Source organism: Homo sapiens, chromosome 19, assembly GCF_000001405.40.
Source record: "Homo sapiens chromosome 19, GRCh38.p14 Primary Assembly".
Taxonomy (NCBI): Eukaryota; Metazoa; Chordata; class Mammalia; order Primates; family Hominidae; genus Homo; species Homo sapiens.
The window spans coordinates 44,960,909-44,981,637 of record NC_000019.10 but is presented as its reverse complement, the minus strand read 5'-3'; the positions used below and the strand labels follow the sequence as shown (position 1 = coordinate 44,981,637).

The 20,729-nt window shown below is 50.1% G+C and overlaps 1 protein-coding gene across 3 annotated transcripts in view, besides 2 other annotated features; it reads right to left on the bottom strand.

Moving 5' to 3' along the window:
- Positions 1-20,729, bottom strand: part of CLPTM1 (CLPTM1 regulator of GABA type A receptor forward trafficking) — a 38,757-nt gene that overhangs the window by 11,704 nt on the left and 6,324 nt on the right. For all 3 annotated transcript variants that reach the window (NM_001282176.2, NM_001282175.2, NM_001294.4), the window contains exons 2-5: positions 19,563-19,675; positions 8,428-8,551; positions 7,041-7,199; positions 4,178-4,295 (exon numbers count right to left, since the gene is read on the bottom strand). In NM_001282176.2, the coding sequence (NP_001269105.1) occupies positions 4,178-4,295; positions 7,041-7,199; positions 8,428-8,430 (280 nt within the window). In that variant the 5' untranslated portion in view covers positions 8,431-8,551; positions 19,563-19,675. The remainder of the gene's footprint in view (positions 1-4,177; positions 4,296-7,040; positions 7,200-8,427; positions 8,552-19,562; positions 19,676-20,729) is intronic.
- Positions 19,752-19,905: a silencer, noted in NCBI's record as "fragment chr19:45464990-45465143 (GRCh37/hg19 assembly coordinates)". NCBI's record gives its function as "represses an EF-1alpha promoter that drives an FKBP-Casp9 reporter gene in an ReSE screen in HepG2 liver carcinoma cells {active_cell/tissue: HepG2}" and the evidence as "EXISTENCE:reporter gene assay evidence [ECO:0000049][PMID:32094911]".
- Positions 20,072-20,391: an enhancer, noted in NCBI's record as "active region_14775". NCBI's record gives its function as "activates an Ori minimal core promoter by ATAC-STARR-seq in GM12878 lymphoblastoid cells {active_cell/tissue: GM12878}" and the evidence as "EXISTENCE:reporter gene assay evidence [ECO:0000049][PMID:35858748]".

Here is a 20,729-nt window from a genome sequence, read left to right as displayed (position 1 = left end):
GCCCTGGCCTTACCTTTTTATTATTTTATTTATATTTCTTTTTGAGACAGGGTCTCGCTTTGTTGCTCAGGCTGAAGTGCAGTGGCCTGATCACAGTTCACTGCAGCCTTGACCTCCTGGACTCAAATGATCCTTCTACCTGAGCCTCCTGAGTCGGAGGACACTACAGGTTGCGCACCACCATATCTGGCTAATTTAAAAAAATTTTTTGGCTCACGCCTGTAATCCCAACACTTTGGGAGGCCAAGGCAGGTGGGTCCCCTGAGGTCGGGAGTTCGAGACCAGCCTGACCAACATGGAGAAACCCTATCTCTACTATAAATACAAAATTAGCTGGGCGTGGTGACACATGACTGTAATCCCAGCTACTTGGGAGGCTGAGGCAGAATTGCTTGAACCTGGGAGGTGGAGGCTGTGGCGAGCCAAGATCATGCCACTGTACTCCAGCCTGGGCAACAAGAGTGAAACTCTGTCTCAAAAAAAAATAAAATAAAATAGGCCAGGCGCGCTGGCTCATGCCTGTAATCCCAGTGCTTTGGGAGGCCAAGGCGGGTGGATCACGAGGTCAGGAGATCAAGACCATCCTGGCTAACACGGTGAAACCTGGTCTCTACTAAAAATACAAAAAAACCATTAGCCGGGCGTGGTGGCGGGCGCCTGTAGTCCCAGCTACTCAGGAGGCTGAGGCAGGAGAATGGCGTGAACCCGGGAGGCAGAGCTTGCAGTGAGCCGAGACTGCACCACTGCACTCCAGCCTGGGCAACAGAGCAAGACTTCATCTCAAAAAAAAATAATAATAAATAAATAAAATGAAATAAAATAAATAAAATAAAATAAAATTTTTTTTTGTAGAGATGAGGTCTCCCTATGTTGCCAGGGCTGGCCTCAAACTCCTGGGCTCAAGCGATCCTCTGACTTTGGCCTCCCAAAGTGCTGGGACTACAGGCATGAGCCACCGTGCCTGGCCTCTCTTTACCTTTTTACTCTTTAGTATTTTTCTATTGGAAAAATTTTAATGCCTTCTCTGGCTCACATCCTATCTCCATGGGACGGAGCTGCTCTAGAATACTGATTATTGGCCTCTTGGGGATAAAAGGGGCTTTTCTTTTCTTTTTTTTTTTTTTTTTTTGAGATGGAGTCTTGCTCTGTCGCCCAGGCTAGAGTACAGTGGCACGATCTCGGCTCACTGCAATCTCCGCCTCCGGGGTCCAAAAGATTCTCCCACCTCAGCTTCCCGAGTAACTGGGATTACAGGCATGTGCCACCATGCCCAGCTAAGTTTTGTATTTTTAGTAGAGACAGGGTTTCACCATGTTGGCCAGGCTGGTCTCGAAGTCCTGACCTCAAGTGATCTGCTTGCCTTGGCTTCCCAAAGTGCTGGGTTTCCAGGCATGAGCCACCACAACCAGCCAAAAGGGGGCTTTTCTGAACTCACACTCTCCTTCACCCTGGAGTTTGTGGGTGGCTCACTCCAAGTCCTTCTATGTCCCTGCTTTGAGGGTCCCAGCTCCAAGGCTGGGGAGGGAGGCCTGGATGATCCTAGTATGCTTTTCAGGTTCACTGTCTGCAGGTTCTATTTTACAGACCAGACTGACTGTGAATAAACCTCACCACACAGTGACATGGATCACACTCACCAAAGACAAAACTGCAGAAAATACTGGCATCGATTTGGGTCAACGGGATGATTAGGTGATCGTCAAACGGGGTACAAGAATAGGGTGAAGAGCCACCCACCTGGGTCACCTTCAGAGCGACCTCTGAAACATCGGGCATTTTAGCCCAGACCCCTGACGTATCCCCCTGCAGGGAAACATCTGTGAGACCAACCCTGTAGGTCACACCCCCTCAAGCCACTTCTGCCTGGTTCTCCAAAGATCTCACCACATGGACGTCAGCCGGGTGGGACATACCAACGCAGCACATTCTTCAGACACACTCACTCAGAAAGGGGCTCAAGTAACTCCAGAAGACCTTTCCAAGTCATTTCTAGGGACCCACATAGAGTCAACTTTTCATTTCATCCAGTATAGGTGATAAAAAAAAATTACCATCCTTTAGGATATTTTTGTACTAAAAGAAGTAGGTAAGACCTAACTCATACAAATAGAATTCTGTCTGTTGCTGCGCCACCCAAAACCAGCCAGATGGATCTTAACCAAATCCACAGGGAATGTCTGGAATAGTCCTCAATAAAGTGAAAGCTAGGTGGAGTACACAGAACTCCCGTTAGAAGAATGGGGGGCTTTCTGAGGAAGCCATTCTCCAGCTCCGCTCAAACAGGTACAGCAAGAGATTTCTACGGCTGCCCATCAGGAGACAGAGGACTCAGGGAAAAAGCTCACAGAGAACCAAGCAAGGCTGGGTGTGGCAGCTCACACCTGTAATCCCAGCACTTTGGGAGGCCGAGGCAGACGATCACTTGAGGTCAGGAGTTTGAGACCAGCCTGGCCAACATGGCGAAACCCCGTCTCTACTAAAAATACAAAAACTAGCCGGGCGTAGTGGCGTGTGCCTGTAGTCCCAGCTATTTTGGAGGCTAAGGTGGGAGAATCGCTTGAACTTGGGAGGTGGAAATTGTGGTGAGCTGAGATAGTCCACTGCACTCCAGCCTGGGCGACATAGTGAGACCCTGTCTCAAAAAAAAAAAAAAAAAGAGCCAGGCAAGCAGAAAGATGACAACAATTATTAACTTCTCGAAAACAAGAGGACGGACAATGCTATGGTTTGAATGTTTGTCCTGGCCAAAACTCATGCTGATTCTCCCACCTCAGCCTCCCAAGTAGCTGGGACTACTGATGTACTCTAGTACTCCCCACTCCCAGTGAAACTTAATCCCCAATGTGCCAGTACTGAGAGATGAGGCTTTTAAGAGGTGACTGGGTCATGAGGACCCTCCCCTCAGGAACTGATTAACCCATTCATGGATTAGTGGTTTAATGGATTAATGAGTTATCATGGGAGTAGAAGTGGTAGTCTTATTTTTTATTACTATTGTTTTTTCAGAGACGTGGACTTGCTCTGTCGCCCAGGCTGGAAAGCTGTAGTGCAATCACAGCTCACTGCATCCTTGACCTCCCAGGTTCAAGCGATCCTCCCACCTCAGCCTCCCATGTAGCTGGAACCACAGGTGCTCACCACCATACCTGGCTATTAATTTTTGTAGCAACGAAGTCTCATTATGTTGCCCACACTGTTCTTTGAATTTTATCTATTTTTTTTTTTTTTGAGACGGAGACGGAGTCTTGCTGTGTCACCAGGCTGGAGTGCAATGGCGTGATCTCAGCTCAATGCAACCTCCGCCTCCTGGATTCAAGCGATTCTCCTGCCTCAGCCTCCCAAGTAGCTGGGACTACAGGAGCATGCTACTACACCCAGCTAATTTTTGTATTTTTAGTAGAGACGGGGTTTCACCGTGTTGGCCAGGATGGTCTCTATCTCTTGACCTTGTGATTCACCCGCCTCGGCCTCCCAAAGTCCTGGGATTACAGGCGTGAGCCACTGTGCCCGGCCTCTATCTATCTTTTTGAGACAGGTTCTCGGTCTGTCACCCAGGCTGGAGTGCAGTGGTGTGATTCTGGCTCACTGCAACCTCCACCTCCTGGGCTCAAGCGATCCTCCCACCTCAGCCTCCTGAGCAGCTGGGACTACAGGCACACGCCCAGCTAGTTTTTGTGTCTTTTTTGGTAGAGACAGGGTTTTGTCATGTTTCCCAGGCTGGTCTCAAACTCCTGGGCTCAAGCAATCTGCCCACCTTGTCTCCCAAAGTGCTAGGATTACAGGCATGAACCACTGCACCCAGCCCACAAATTATTTTTGAGTGTCTACTTCTATCAGGCCCCTACTGTGCAAAAGTCAACCCTGGCCCTTCCCCCTTGGTGAAGGACGTCTCCTCCTCTCCAAGAGTCCCTGTCTCCAGCTGCTTTTTCTGGCCAATTTCTCTCTGGTCCCTGAGCCTCCGTGGGTCTCCCTTCCTCCGTGGGTATCCCTGCTTAGTGTCCACAGGGCTCTTTCAGGCTGGGTGGGGCTTGAGCCTGCCCTGCCAATCCCACCCTCTTTGAGCACAGGCTTCCTGCCTGCCCTCCTGGACTTGGGATTTGTCCGCCACATTAGCCTGGGGGCTCCCAGGATGCTGGCCTCCTGGACAGTGGGTCCTGGCTGCAGGGGAGCGACTTACTCCGGGACATGTGGACTGTGGCAAGCCGGCGGTACAGGGCCTTCTGCCGGGGGTCTGGGTGGAAGCCACTCTTGGTGAAGTAAACGTGGATGTAGATGGAGCCGTTCTGCTGGACGCTCTGCAAAAGACGGAAGGTCAGGTGGGCAGGCTGGGCAACTGGGGTGAGGGAAACGTTAAAGCCCTGCCTGGCACCCATCTGCAGCAGTTTCCTCCCCCTCAACTCTCTGGCCATTTACTGAGTACTCAGGGTGGGGCATGTAGCTGGGTGGCAGAGAGGTAAATGCTGGAGTCAGACAGACTCAGACGCCCGCTCTACCTGCCATGGCCGTGTGAGCTCAGCTTCTCTCTGAGCCTCAGGGCCCCACCTAGAGGATGCGAAGTTCCCACAGCACTGACCCGAGGGCACCACTGCAGGGACTACCTGGAGCACTGGCACACAGCTCAGTCAACGAGCTCTCGTTAAGCTCACTCAACAGGAAGAAGCAGCTGACCGACATGGAGCTCCTACTATGGGCCAGACCCTGCCCTGGGCACTTCAGACAACAGCTTCCTAATCTAACGAGTTAACACACATATAACATGTCAACCTTATGCAATGGGTCATGTTACCACCCCATTTTGCAGATGAGGCAAACGGGGCTCATGCCAAGGGGTCACATAGTGTGTGGCAAGTACGCAGATGGAAACCCAGTCTGTGGGCTCCTGGGTGCTACTCCCTGCTACCTCCAGCTGGCCCCTCTCTGCCCAAGTCTTCCTCATTATCTCATCAAGTCTCCTTGCCTCCCAGGGAAGGGGGACTATTCTCACTTGATCCAGATGAGGAAACTGAGGCTTCAAGAAGGGAGGCAAGTTGTCCAGGGGCACTGGGTGGAGACAAAGGCGAGCACTGAACCTCTCTGATCCTTGTGCAGAGCTCGAATTCAGTTGGCCACATTGTGTTCTCCTCACTCTCCCTATCTTTTTTAGAGATGGGGTCTTCCTGTGTTGCCCAGGCTGGAGTGCACTGGCTATTTGCAGTTGCGATCATGGCACACTACAGTCTTAAACTCCTGGGCTCTGGCCATTCTCCCACCTCAGCCTCCTGAGTAGCTGTGCCTACAGGCACATGCCACTGTGCCCAGCTCTCCTGCCTTTTAAGTCCACTTGGACCCCACCCTGAAGCTTCGACTTAGATCCAAGCCCTTGGAAGCAGATCCCCCTGCTGGGCCTGCCAGGCCCTGGTCCTTCCTTGGATCTCGTGGCAAGGCCTGGGGGCTGGGCTTGAGGTCTCTGTGGGAGTCACCTCTCAGTGCAGGTCAGAAAGTCCAGCCAGGTGGGGTGGTTCATGCCTGTAATTCCAGCACTTTGAGAGGCTGAGGTGAGAGGATCGCTTGAGCAGAGGAGTTTGAGACCAGCCTGGGAAACATGTTGAGACCCCATCTCTACAAAAAATTAGCTGGGCATGGTGGTGCATGCCTGTTGTCCCAGCTACTTGGGAGGCTGAGGTGAAAAGATTGCTTGAGCCCAGGAGGTTGAGGCTGCAGTGAGCTGTAATTGCACCACTGCACTTCAGCCTAGGCAACAGAGCAAGACCCCATCTCAAAAAGAAAAGAATGATGGCTGGACGCGGTGTCTCACGCCTGTAATCCCAGCACTTTGGGAGACCAAGGTAGGTGGATCACTTGAGGTCAGGAGTTCAAGGCCAACCTGGCCAACATAGTGAAACCTTGTCTCTACTAAAAAATAAAAAAATTAGCTGGGTGTGATCATGTGTGCCTTAGTCCCAGCTACTCAGGAGGCTGGCACATGAGAATCGCTTGAACCTGGGAGGTGAAGTTGCAGTGAGCCAAGGTTGCGCCACTGCCCTCCAGACTGGGTGACAGAGCGAGACGCTGTCTCAAAAAAAAACAAAAAACAAAAAAAAAAACCAGAATGACTGTGTCCACATTCTGCTTCTAGCTACCCAGACAGAAATAGAACAGAAATGTGCCCTCCACCCCAAAGCTGAGAAGGCCTGCTGGGGAGAAAGGAATGAGGGCAGCTGTCTTGGACTCAGCCGAAGAAGGCCCCAAAGAGAGATGTCCCTTTTACTTGTTCAATACTTGCTGATTCTGCACCCAGCCCCACGTTGGGCAGTGCTGGGGACATGGAAGTGATCTAGGCAGCCCCAGCCTTATTATCACAAGGCTCACAGTCCCATACAGGAGTCCCAATGAGGCCCCAGAATGGGCTGGGATGGGGAAGCCCAGCAGGTGTGAGAACCCAGAGAGGGTGCTTAACCAAGCCTGAGTGCTCTGTGAGTCAGGGAGGGCTTCCTGGAGGAGGTTGGATTTGAGCCTAGGGCTGCGAGAGTCCACAGCCGTAGAGCCTGAGTCTGAATCTCTCATGCGATGTGGCCTTGGGTAAATCACTTTCCTTCTCTCTCAGTTTCCTCACATGTTAAATGAGAATAATAACAGTTCCTGCTTCACAGGGTTGCCGGGAAATTTCCATGAGTCAGCCTAGCTTAGTACCCTGCACTTAGCTCAATCAACATTAACTAATATTATTTTGAAACGGGGCTGCCTGATAAACTGGTGATAGGCAAACATCCCCAAGGACAATTACTAATCTTTCACCAGTTTAAAGTGGAGGACTGCACAACCTTAGAGGTAGCTGGGAGGGTCCCAGGCCAATTCCACCCCTATCTACCTTTTTCAGGTAGGGGAAAGTGAAGCCCAGAGATCTCAGGGACTGGCTTGTGGTCACAGACCATGTGAGCCCAGGGAAGGGCCAAGCCTGGAGCCCAAACTCCACATGCTCTCAGCAAGGAGCGGACTGGAGGAAAAGGTCCTTCAGTGCCAGTCAAGCAGCCATGGGGCCAGAAACCGAGAGCTGCCCCCACCTGTGGGATATCGAGCTCAGCAAAGTGCTCGTAGCAGCCGTCTGAGTTCTCGCCGCTAGTCCAGTCGCCATACACAAGATCGTGCTGTTCCCAGAAGAGTGCCGACGTGGCGTTGAAGTCTGTAAAGTGCTCGTGCTCTGAGATGTACACATGCAGGTTCTGTTGGGACAGGAAGGGAACAGAGCTCAGGCCTGCTCTTCAGAGCCTCTGCAGGCTGGCTAAAGAGCTATGGCAGCGGTCAGCACACTCAGGGGAACAGTAATTATGGAGGACAGGGGAGAGGAGAGAGGAAGAGCAGCAGAGAGGACATATTTTCTCTTTTCTCATACCACCATGTTTGTCCTGGTCTGAGCCTGTGAAGTCAACGAACAAAGAACACTTGGAGACTGGCCAGCCTGCCAATTAGAATTTAGGGGTAGGAAGGGGCAGGAGCTCCCTGAATGATCTCCTGCCCTCATGGCTGCTGGGCCTTCCTGGTCAGAGCTCTGCAGGCTTATGGACGAAGCAGTCCAGAGCTACAAAAGCACTGTGAGCCACCGGGCACGGTGGCTCATGCCTGTGATCCCAGCACGTTGGGAGGCCAAGGCGGGTAGACCACTTGAGGTCAGGAGTTCGAGACCAGCGTACCAAAAAGGTAAAACCCCATCTCTACTAAAAATACAAAAAATTAGCTGGACGTGGTGGCACATGCCTGTAATCCCAGCTAGTCGTGAGGCTGAGGCAGGAGGATCACTGGAGCCCGGGAGGCAGAGGTTGCAGTGAGCTAAGATTATGCCACTGCACTCTAGCCTGGGCGACAGAGTGAGACTCCATCTCAAAAAAAAAAAAAAAAAAAACCCACTGTGACCCAACAAGAACTTCCTCCTTTCTCAAGCCCCAATGGCCATGTTTGCTCAGAAAAGCCTAGACTGACAGATCTAAATGCTTTTGCTCTGGAGGCTCCTGAAGCCCTGCCCTGCCTGTGCCCAAGCCCACTGTGGAAGTGCAGGTCTCCTCTCCTTCCGGGCCCACCTCCTGTCAGCCTCTGCTGGCTCCCTGCCCTCCCCACCTCTCACACTCTCTCCCTTGCACATCTCCCTCTGCAACCCTGAAAGGCTGAACATACTTTTGAAATATAACATCCAAAGACCCTGATTTAACCTATTTTAACCAAATGAATTTGCTTTTTCTTTTGGGTGACACAGGTTTTATGTGCTGGGGATGGACCCAGGTGACAGAGGTCTCACGTGTTGGGGATGGGCCCAGAGTTCCTCAACCCTGGACCTGTTTTCCTAGACCTGCCAGTGAGCAAGGACCTGGTCTGTCCCGACTGCTGACATCACTCCTCCACATTCCACCCCTCCACACCCCATCACCTCCCAAGTCTGCCCTACCACCCGGCAGTTACCATTAAAGTGTCTTTGGGGAACAGGTTGCGGCTGGCGACGCGTGGAGCTCCTCCGGGGCCCGCCTGGTCCTGAGGGGCCGGCCCTCGGCGGAACCAACTGCTGATGGCCCAGATGATGAAGATCCTGAGGAGAGAAGCAGCAAGGTGGTGAGTCCCCAAGCCTTGGCTCTCCGCCATAGACCCGCCTGACTTCCTTCTGACTTAGCACATGCTGGCGCCTGACCTGGGGCTAGTGACCAAGTCAGGGAGGCCCTGAGAAGGTAGTCACAGGGCTGGCAAGGAGATAAGATGTCCCTAAAGACCACATCTGGGGAGGGAGCCCAGATGCCACCGTTTGCCAGTGTGTGGGGGTAGCTGGCACTGCCCTGGTCTGCATGCAGACCCTTGACTCTAAATCCTGCAGGAGCTCCTGGTGACCACAGGGCTGCAGGGGCTGACTCTTGACTCAGACTGGGAAACCTGCCATCCAGCCCCCTGGGATCCCCCGAGAGGAGACTAAGAATCTGGAACCCCTTCAGTGTGCAGATGGATGAATTAAAAGAAAAAAGAAATAAAGAAAAAATAATAAACATAAAATTTTTAAAAGAAAGAATCTGGAATCCTAGCGCTTCAAAAGCACAGAACCGGGGATGGTTAATGGCTACAAAAAATAGAATGAACGAGGACGGGCGCGGCGGCTCATGCCTGTAATCCCAGCACTTTGGGAGGCCAAGGCGGGCGGATCACGAGGTCAGGAGATTGAGACCATCCTGGCTAACATGGTGAAACCCTGTCTCTACTAAAAAATACAAAAAAATTAGCTGGGCATGGTGGCGGGCGCCTGTAGTCCCAGCTACTCCGGAGGCTGAGGCAGGAGAATGGTGTGAACCCAGGAGGCAGAGGTTGCAGTGAGCCAAGATCGCGCCACTGCACTCCAGCCTGGGCAACAGAGCGAGACTCCATCTCAAAAAAAAAAAGAATGAATGAGATCTAGTATTTGGTAGCAAAACACGGCAACTCTAGTCAATAGTAATTTAATTACACATTTTAAAATAACTTAAGAAGTATAGAGGCCAGGCACAGTGGCTCATGCCTGTAACTTTGGGAGGCTGAAGTGGGCAAATCACGAGGTCAAGAAATCGAGATCATCGTGGCCAACATGGTGAAACCCTGTCTCTACTAAAAATACAAAAATTAACTGGGCCTGGTGGTGCGTGCCTCTAGTCCCATCTACTTGGGAGGCTGAGGCAGGAGAATCACTTGAACCCGGGAGGCGTAGGTTGCAGTGAGCCGAGATTGCGCCACTGCCCTCCAGCCTTGCAACAGAGTGAGACTCCATCTCAAAAAAAAAAAAAAAAAAAAAAGTATAATTGGGTCAGGTGTAGCAGCTCATGCTTGTAATCCCAGCACTTTGGGAAGCTGAGGCAGGCGGATTGCTTGAGCTCAAAAGTTTGAGACCAGCCTGGGCAACATGATGAAATCCCGTCTCTACAAAAAATATAAAAATTAGCTGGGCATGGTGGCCCATGCCTGTAGTCCCAGCTACTTGGGGGACTGAGGTGAGAGAGTCACTTGAGCCCTGACGGTCAAGGCTGCAGTGAGACGTGATTGCGCCACTGCACTCCAGCCTGGGAGATAGAGAGCTTGTCCCAAAAAAATTAATCAATTAATTAATTAAATTTTTTAAAAAAGAAAAGGAAAAGAACCGAAGGCACAGAAGCTTAGAAAGAGCAACATTTCTGAACTTTTGGAGAATTTTTGGAGAAGCAGATAGTAAGTGATACGTTAGTTCCAATTTTAGTAACAGTGGGCTTAATTATTCAGACCAACCCTCTCACTGGAAAAAATTGGAAAAGCTTGATAAAATTAATACACTAAGAAAATATCAATATATTTTATATTTGTAATTATACATATTGATAGAATGAGAATATATGCTGCTCACGTATTCTCGTATTTGTTCTCATGCATGTAATTTTTATCAAGTTTACATATGAATATATATAAATAGACAGCTCTGAAGAATGGACACGACTGTAGGTTACCAAACCTTCAGGCAAAAACTGAAGGGAAAGTGGGAATCCTAAAGTAGTAAAGGATCGGCCGGGCGCGGTGGCTCAAGCCTGTAATCCCAGCACTTTGGGAGGCCGAGGTGGGTGGATCACCTGAGGTCAGGAGTTCAAGACCAGCCTGGCCAACATGGTGAAACCCCATCTCTACTAAAAATACAAAAATTAGCCAGGAGTGGTGGTGCATGCCTGTAATCCCAGCTATTCGGGAAGCTGGGGCAGGAGAATCGCTTGAACCCAGGAGAAGGAGGTTGCAGTGAACCGAGATCGTGCCATGGCACTCCAGCCTGGGCAACAAGAGCAAAAAGTCCATCTCAAGGAAAAAAAAAAAAAGAAGTAAAGGATCTTGGATTTGCAGGTCTAGGGGAAAAAAAAAAAAAGAATAAGTAAAGGAGCCCTATAAGCTTCTTCATGTGTCCGAGGACATCTGCTAGGTGTTTTGGTGGGTGACAAAAATGCTGGCCTAGGCTGGGCGCGGTGGCTCACACCTGTAACCCCAGCACGCTGGGAGGCTGAGGTAGGTGGATTGCTTGAGCCCAGGAGTTTGAGACCAGCCTGGGCAACACACAGTTTCTACAAAAAATACAAAAATTAGCCAGGCATGGCAGCACGCACCATGCCTATATTCCCAGCTACTCAGGAGGCTGAGGTGGGAGAATCACCTGAGCCCAGGAGGTCGAGGCTGCAGTGAACCACGATCATGCCACTGCACTCCAGCCTGGGCAACAGAGTGAGACCCTGTCTCAAAAAAAAAAAAAAAAATGCTAGCCCAGGGCACATACAACATATGAGGTAACCAGAGACCTACCCTATAGGAAACTAAGACCCCACAAGGTGCAAGCCTCCACCCCTGAGAAGGAAGGAACCAGGTGGCCTACCCATTCCCAGGAGTTGCACAACAGGTATGCAGGGCGAAGTATGCAAGGCCACTCGTGGGATAAGGAGTCACGAAGGGCAGCTCAAGCCCTGAACCTGGTGCAAGGAAACCTAGGACTTGGTAATGCCCCCAGGCAGAAGCAAAGGCAATCCTCTCTGTAGGAAAATATGCTCATCCTAGCCCTGAAATTCCTACAAATAACTTTTCAAGTATAATGACTAGGACACAGACAGAGATAAGCCAGGCACAAAAGGAAACGACATTATGAGCGAGAATCAGCAGCAACAACAGATACCAAAACCAAAACGAGGCTGGGCGTGGTGGCTTACACCTATAATCCCAGCACTTTGGGAAGCCAACACTTGAGGTCAGGAGTTCGAGACCAACCTGGCCAACATGGTGAAACCCCATCTCTACTAAAAATACAAAAATTAGCCGGGCGTGGTGGCGGGCGCCTGTAATCCCAGCTACTTGGTAGGCGGAGGCAAAAGAATCGCTTGAACCTGGGAGGTGGAGGTCGCAGTGAGCCGAGATCATGCCACTGGACTCCAGTCTGGGTGACAGAGTAAGACTCCATCTCAAAAAAAAAAAAAAAAAAGTGTCCTTAAAGAGAAGAAATATTCCTTCTTGATTTATTCTTCTCTCCTGTTGCCTGGAGTGTGGATGTGATGGCTGAATCTTCAGCAGCTGTCTTGGGCTATGAGGATAAAGGGAAAAACCTAGCAATGGCACAACAAACAGCAAGGAGTCTGGGTCACTGAAGACTGCAGAATCCTAGTCTGCCTCCATCCAGACTGGTATATCAGAGAGAAATGAACCTGTACTGTGTTAATGGAGGTTTCTCAGCTGCATGCAGCCATGTGATTAAATGATTCAAGTACTTATTAATTATAGGTATGATAACCATACAGCAGAAGAGGTTATGAGCCCAGCCTCTAAACTACAGTATCTTCATCTGAAGCCCAGCTCTGCTACTTACTGTGACCTCAGTGGTCAACTTCAATGGTTGAAATGGGGATAATAACAGTGCCTACTCTCATAGGGTAGTTTATAAGCATTAAACACATTAAATTATATATATGTTTATATAGCGTGTATATACATCTGACACACGCACACGTACCTCAGAATGGAGCCTGGTGCATACCCAGTAAGTGACTGAGAAGTGTTAGCTATTACTGTTATTTTAATCATAGGAAAAAGGCATACAAAAAACTTTGGAGCAGAAAAACACTATGAGTAAATTCTAGTGTGGGTGGGGTGCCTCCCTGCTGAGCCCTGATCAGGGGCAGGATCAGGCACAGGAACTTGCCTCTGCCTGTAGAAGCCACAAGGCCCTGGGGTCCAGGGTCTTAGGGGCCACGGTCCAGCTGAGCCATCGCTACCTCCCCATGAAGTCCCTGATATGCACGTCTGGGGAAGGTCTGGACCTGGCAATCTCTGGGGATACCGATGCCTCCAGCAGAGGCTCTCATTTTAGTAAACACACCAGGGGAGAGTGTAGAAGCAGTGATGCCCCCAGGCAGCTCTGCCCCTGGCTTAGTGTGTGGCTGTGGGGGTCCTAACCCCTCTGGGCTTCTAGATCCCCATGTATAAAACAAGGCCAGGCCTTTTTGGATTCCAGATCCCCAGTCCCCTGAAGAACGTCCTGTGTGTATCCACACGCCCACAGTTCTGTGGACCCTCTCAGAGGGCTCATGGCCATGGCCCCTCATCCATGCACCCAGGCCTGCAGGAGACTGGACCTTTCTAATGCTTCCTGATGTACTTGAGTAAGCAAAGAAAACAGACATTAAATCCTTTCTCCCACCCAAATAGGTATTCTACAGTCACAGGTTCAGAACATTTTTAAATATATGAAAAGACGTATAATCAAAACTCTCCCTCCCACCCCATTCCTTTATATACCCAGTTCCTGCTCCACCTCCCACTCCAGGTAACCACATGTGCTCAAAAACACAGACGCCACCCGCTATCTAGAAAGGCTATTCCCACATAATCAGCTTCAAGCTACAAGGAGTTCATGGGCCCCTGAAAACAAACCCTGGATCCCATTTTAAGAACTGCAGCCAAGATGGTCTCCGAGCACCCACCCGAACTGATGTTTGATGCTGCCTAGTTCTAAGAAAGGAAATTAGCCTACAGTGTGACTTGTATTAAAAATGTCTCTCTGAAGGAAGCTCCCTATGCACTGACGTGGAAAGATTTCAAAGATATATTGTTAATGAAAAAAATCAAGGAGCAGAACAGTGTGTAAAACAGGCTACCTCTTATGTAAAAATGAAGGGAAAGATAAAAATAATTTTCATGCAGAGCTGCTTGCAGCATGAAAAAAAAGAAGGTGATATATAAGAAAATCTGAAGTCTTTACGTGGCCATGGGGAGGGGAGGTGAAGTGGAGACGGTAAGGGACAGGGGCGCATGACTGAGAAGCGTAGGGCACATGGCAGGAATTTTTGAGGCACACATGTCAGTTTTGCAACTTAACAGAGTGGGGAGGTTTCTTTCCTGCAGTTTCTCAGTGTCCTGTGTGACACTCTTGGAGGACACCAGGCAGGCAGTTCTGCTCTAGTCTAGAATGTGATCAGTGACTACATCAGGGATCATGAGTTGTTTTTTTTTTTTTTTGGGACAGAGTTTCACTCTTGTTGCCCAGGCTGGAGTAAAATGGCATGATCTCGGCTCACTGCAACCTCCGCCTCCCGGGTTCAAGCGATTCTCCTGCCTCAGCCTCCTGAATAGCTGGGATTACAGGCATAAGCCGCCATGCCCGGCTAATTTTGTATTTTTTGCAGAGATGGGTTTCTCCATGTTGGTCAGGCTGGTCTGGAACTCCCGACCTCAGGTGATTCACCTACCTTGGTCTCCCAAAGTGCTGGGATTACAGGCGTGAGCCACTGCACCCGGCCTCATGAACTTTTTTTTTTCACTGTTTCACTATATATTTCCTAAGGTTTTTGTTTGTTTGAGATACAGTCTCACTCTGTTGCCTAGGCTGGAGTGCAGTAGTATCATCACGGCCCATTGCAGCCTTGACCTCCTGGGCTCAAGCGATCCTCCCTCTTCGGCCTCCCTAATAGCTGGCACTACAGGTGTGCGCCATCACACCCAGCTAATTTTTTAGTTTTTTACAGAGATGGGGTCAGGATAGGCGCGGTGGCTCACGCCTGTAATCCCAGCACTTTGGGAGCCCGAGGTGCGTGGATAGCGAGGTCAGGAGATCGAGACTATCCTGGCTAACACGATGAAACCCTGTCTCTACTAAAAATACAAAAAATTAGCCGGGCGCTGTGGCGGGCGCCTGTAGTCCCAGCTACTCGGGAGGCTGAGGCAGGAGAATGGCGTGAACCTAGGAGGCGGAGCTTGCAGTGAGCCGAGATCGCGCCACTGCACTCCAGCCTGGGCGACGGAGCGAGATTCTGTCTCCCAAAAAAAAGAGAGAGAGAGAGAGAGATGGGGGTCTTACTGTGTTGCTCAGGCTTTTTTTTTTTCCACGTTGAACAACAAAAGGAATCATGGCCAACATTGTCTGTGTGCGTGCCAGCTCCTGCACCCCTCAGTTGACATGAATTCTCTTGGAATCCTTCTGATGCACCCTGAGCTAATTGTCAAGATTCCCTGTCTGTGAGGTGGAAAATGAGGCTCAAGAAGGGTGATAACCTGACCAGGCCACAGAGCTCAGAGGTGGCAGGGCTGAGATGTCAGCAGGGCTGTGCTCTTACACGCTATCTGACACTACCTGCCCCCCGCCTCCTAACTTTTCTCTATTTTAAACAACTCTATCTGTGAGCATCTATATATAATCCCATTTAGGGCCAATTACAAAAATGTGTGCCTATGGGATGGCCACCAACACATTACACTTTTTTATTTTTGAGACTGTGTCTCGCTCTGTCACCCAGGCTGGAGTGCAGTGGCGGCATCTTGGCACACTGCAAGCTCCGCCTCCTAGGTTCACGCCATCCTCCTGCCTCAGCCTCCCGAGTAGCTGGGACTATAGGCGCCTGCCACCATGCCCGGCTAATTTTTTATATTTTTAGTAGAGATGCAGTTTCACTGTGTTAGCCAGGATGGTCTCGATCTCCTAACCTCGTGATCCACCCACCTCGGCCTCCCAAAGTGCTGGGATTACAGGCGTGAGCCACCGCGCCCGGCCCACATTACACTTTTTCATTAGCTTTTTCTTTTCACTCTTCGTATTGTTTGAACTACTTAATTTTGTAAAATAAACACTCATAATTTATAAGCTAAGGGAAACCAGTAATAAGATTTTATGGAAGAGATAAGTAGCTGCCCCCCATAACCACTCTCCTCTTCTTCCTCAGTAATAGGAGCCCTGCTTTCCAGCAGGGTGCTCAGTTTCCCAGATTAAAGACCACATTTCCCAGCCTCCCGTGCAGCTGGCCATGGCCATGTGAAGACATTCTAGCCAAAGGAATGATTGTTTTATTTTTTTATTTTTGTTTTATTTTTTGAGACGGAGTCTCGCTGTCGCCTAGGCTGGAGTGCAGTGGCACCACCTGGGCTCACTGTAAGCTCCGCCTCCTGGGTTCACACCATTCTCTTGCCTCAGCCTCCTGAGTAGCTGGGACTACAGGCGCCCGCCACCACACCTGGCTAATTTTTTTGTATTTTCAGTAGAGACGGCGTTTCACTGTGTTAGCCAGGATGGTCTCGATCTCCTGACCTCGTGATCTGCTTGCCTTGGCCTCCCAAAGTGCTGGGATTACAGGCGTGAGCCACCGCGCCCAGCCATGATTGTTTTATTTTTATTTTCTCTTTTTTTTTTGAGACTCAGTCTTGCTCTGTCGCCAGGCTTGAGTGCAGTGGCACGATCTTGGCTCACTGCAACCTCTACCTCCCAGGTTCAAGTGATTCTCCTGCCTCAGCCTCCCGAGTAGCTGGGACTACAGGCTTGTGCCACCACACCCAGCTAATTTTTGTATTTTTAGTAGAGATGGGGTTTCACCATATTGGCCAGGATGGTCTCGATCTCTTGACCTCATGATCTGCCTGCCTCGGTCTCCCAAAGTGCTGGGATTGCAGGCGTGAGCCACCGCACCTGGCGGGATGATTGTTGTAAACATCTCTGCTGTGCAATTCCTTCTATCTCATAAGTAGGGAAGCTGATTGCCTAACTGCATGGTGTGGTCTCTTATTTTGCTAAAATACATCTCCAAAAAGCAAAAAAAAAATAAAAGGAATATCTATTTTGCAGAGGAGTAAACAAAGGCTCAGAGCAAAGAAGGTGACTGTCACTAGGTCTAGGCAGGAAGGATAGAACCCAGTGCCAAGCATATTCCCCCGCCACCACCCAGCATCTCCCCAGGGCCTCAAACAGAAGCTGGGCTTTGAAAAAACAGGCCCTGGGGTCCCACTGCCCAGGAATAGCATGTGAACCCACAGGTAAAAGGGTCACCACCAGGCAGTCACAGAAGGACAAATGCTGTCTGATTCCACATACAGGAGCTAACTAGAGTAGTGAAAGAGAGACAGGAAATAGAAAAGTGGCTGCCAGGTGTTGCAAGGAGGAAGAAATGGGAAGCTTGTGTCTGATGGGTATGGAATTTCAGTTTGGGAAGAGTAAATTCTCGGGATGGATAATGGTGATGGGGGCACAACAGTGGAGATGTACTTAATGCCACAGGACTACATACTTAAAAATGGTTAAAATGGGCCAAGCGTGGTGGCTCACGCCTATAATCCCAGGACTTTAGGAGGCTGAGGCGGGTGGATCACCTGAGGTCAGGAGTTAGAGACCAGCCTGGCCAACACGGCAAAACCCCATCTCCACTAAAAATACAAAAATTAGCCAGGCGTGGTGGCAGGTGCCTGTAGTCCCAGCTACTCAGGTGGCTGAGGCAGGAGAATCGCTTGAACCCAGGAGGCAGAGACTGCAGTGAGCCGAGATTGCACTACTGCACTCCAGCCTGGGTGACAAAGTGAGACGCTGTCTCAAAAAAAAAAAAAAAAAAAAAAAAAAAAAAGGTTAAAATGAAAACATAGGTTAAAATGGTAAATTTGATGTTATGTGCAGATGTGGGCTGAATCATGTCTCCCAAAATTCATATGTTAAAGTCTCAACCTTCAGTACCACCGTGACTAGATTTAGAGACAGGGTCCCCCCAACTTTTTTTTGCGATAAGGTCTCACTCTGATGCCCAGACTGGAGTACAGTGGTGTGATCTCGGCTCACTGCAGCTTCAACTTCTGAGGGTCAGGCAGGGCCCAGTGGCTCACGCCTGTAATCCCAGCACTTTGGGAGGCTGAGGCGGGTGGATCATGAGGTCAGGAGTTCGAGACCAGCCTGGTCAACATAGTGAAACCCCATCTCTAATAAAAAAAAAAAAAAGCAAAAATTAGCTAGGCACTGGGTGCAGTGGCTCACGCCTGTAATCCCAACACTTTGGGAGGCCAAGGCGGGCAGATTGCCTGAGGTTGGGAGTTCGAGACCAGCCTGACCAACATGGAGAAACCCCATCTCTACTAAAAATACAAAATTAGCTGGGCATGGTGGCACATACCTTAATTCCAGCTGCTCAGGAGGCTGAGGCAGGAGAATCGCTTGAACCCAGGAGGTGGAGGTTGCAGTGAGCTGAGATCGCGCCACTGTACTCCAGCCTGGGAAACAGAGCGAGACTCCATTACAAAAATAAAAATAGGCTGGGTGCGGTGGCTCACACCTGTAATCGCAGCACTTTGGGAGGCCAAGGCAGGCGGATCATGAGGTCAGGAGATAGAGACCATCCTGGCTAACACGGTGAAACCCCATCTCTACTGAAAATACAAAAAATTAGCCAGGTGTGGTGGCGGGTGCCTGTAGTCCCAGCTACTCGGGAGGCTGAGGCAGGAGAATGGCGTGAACCCGGGAGGCGGAGCTTGCAGTGAGCCAAGATTGTGCCACTGCACTCCAGCCTGGGCGACAGAGCGAGACTCCGTCTCAAAAAAAAAAAAAAATACATAAAATAAAAATAAAAAAATTTCCAAGGCTCAAGTGATCCTCCTACCTCAGCCTCTTGAATAGCTGAGACTACAGGTACGTGTCACCATACCTGGCTTTTTTTTTTTTTTTTTTTTTGAGATGGAGTCTCACTCTGTCCCCAGGCTGGAATGCAGTGGCACGATCTCAGCTCACCGCAACCTCTGCCTCCTGGGTTCAAACGATTCTCCTGCCCTCAGCCTCCTGAGTAGCTGGGACTACAGGCACGTGCCACCACACCCAGCTAATTTTTGTATTTTTTTTGTATTTTTTATTTTTTTTGAGACGGAGTCTTTCTCTGTTGCCCAGGCTGGAGTGCAGTAGCGCGATCTCAGCTCTCTGCAAGCTCCGCCTCCCGGGTTCACGCCATTCTCCTGTCTCAGCCTCCGGAATTTTTTTATTTTTAGTAGAGATGGGGTATCACTATGTTGGCCAGGATGGTCTCGATCTCTTGACCTCGTGATCCACCCGCCTCGGCCTCCCAAAGTGCTGGGATTGTAGGTGTAAGCCACCGTGCCCAGCCAGATTTTTTTATTTTTAGTAGAGACAGGGTCTTACTATGTTGCCCAGGCTGGTCTCAAACTCCTGGGCTCAAGCAGTCCTTCCAACCTGGCCTCCCAAAATGCTGGGATTATGAGGGTGAGTCATTGTGCCTGGCCCAGATAGGGTCTGTAAAAAAGTAAGGTTCAGTGAGGTCATTATGGTGGGTACTAAGCCAGTATGACTAGTGTCCCCATAAGAGGAGCTTAGGACACAGACACACACAGAGGAAAGACCACATGAAGACACAGGGAGAAGACGGCCTTCTGCAAGCCCAGGAGAGAAGCCACAGAAGAAACTGCCCCTGCCCACAGCTGGATCCTGGACTTCCAGCCTTCAGAACTGTAAGACAATGAATTTCCTATTTCAGTTGTTTAAGCTACTCCGTCTATATTACTTGATACAAGGGCCCTAGCAAACTACTTCAGTATTTTTTGTGTTTTTATTTTTTCACAAATCAGGTAGCCCCCCAAAAACCAGAACAGGTTCAGGGAGACTCCCTACTTCAGTATGTTTTACCAGAGTAAAAAAAAGGTTTAGAAAACATTCCATCATACAAAAAAAAAAAGAAAAAAAGCAACTCTACCATACAGTAATGATCACCATCCTCAGCTGATCAGCTGACTTTTCCTTTCTTCCTTATTTTTATTTGAATGTTTTCGGTGAACAAACCCAAGTCCCGTCTGCTCACCTAAACAGCACACCTTTGATGACCTGCCAGGCATTGGGTGCCGGCTGGGCCGGTGGGTTCTGAGGCTGGGTCTCCGCTGGCGGGTCCCTCCCGATGCTGCCATTGCTGGTCACCTGTGGGGGACAGAGGCCAGGGTAAGGAGGGAGAATGGACACGGGGGCTGTCTTAGACACCATCATGCATGAAGGCCAGGCACAGGCTGGGCAAAGAGTGGGTGCTTATCAATAACTGGAGAATGAATCAGTGAAAACACCTGGGAAGGTGCGGTCCTCTTCTTTTAGGAGGAAAACACTCGCAGAGCACCTCTGTGACCTAGGGACAGTGGTGACCTAGAGAGTCTTTTGCTGTCCTCCTGGGGTTTAACAGCCCGGTGGGGGAGAAAGATTCATCTCTAGACAGTGACTGTCCAGAACGGGGCAGGAATGCAGGAGCCCTGAGAGGCACCTGGTCCAGTCTAGGGTTCGGGGCAACTTCCTGGAGAAGGGGGCATTGAAGCTGAGACCTAAAACATAGCAAGTTGGTGGCACAAAGGAGGAAGTGAGAGAAGCAGCAGGTGCAGAAACAGAAGATTAGAGGCACAGTCTGATTCTGATGACTGTCCACTGTTCCCTGGGGCTGGAGCCAGGATGCAAGGAGGTGGCTATTGGGGACAACAACAGAAGGAGTCTTATGGCAGGTGCCAGATTCTTCAAGGCTGGGGCTTAGCTGAAAGAGCCTTCCCTGGGCAAACCATTCCTGAGGCCCCCTCTGTGGCCAACCCTGCCCTCCAAGGGCCCCTGGTCCAGCAGGTGGGACAGACACAGAAAAACACAACCAGACTATCAGCTGCTACCATAAGCCACGGCCACAAGACATGTCTGTGACAGCACACAGCACACTAATCCTGAGGCCAAAACTATGACCAGCTCCATCCGGCTGCTGAGCAAAGGGAGGCTCAGAGAGGTGAAGCCACTTGTCTGGTCACTCAGGAAGGACCGCAGAAGCAGAATGACAGAAGGGAAGGGGGGCAGGCAAGGGAGCCAGGCACGGCTTCCCAGAGGAGGACTCTTCACTCAGACACAGAAGGTCACAATCAGAGACTCTCTGAATGCCAGGTTTGGAAGGGGATGTTCTGCTCACCCTTCACGCACCCTGCTAGCTCCCCAGTCCTGTTCTCATTCACCCCTC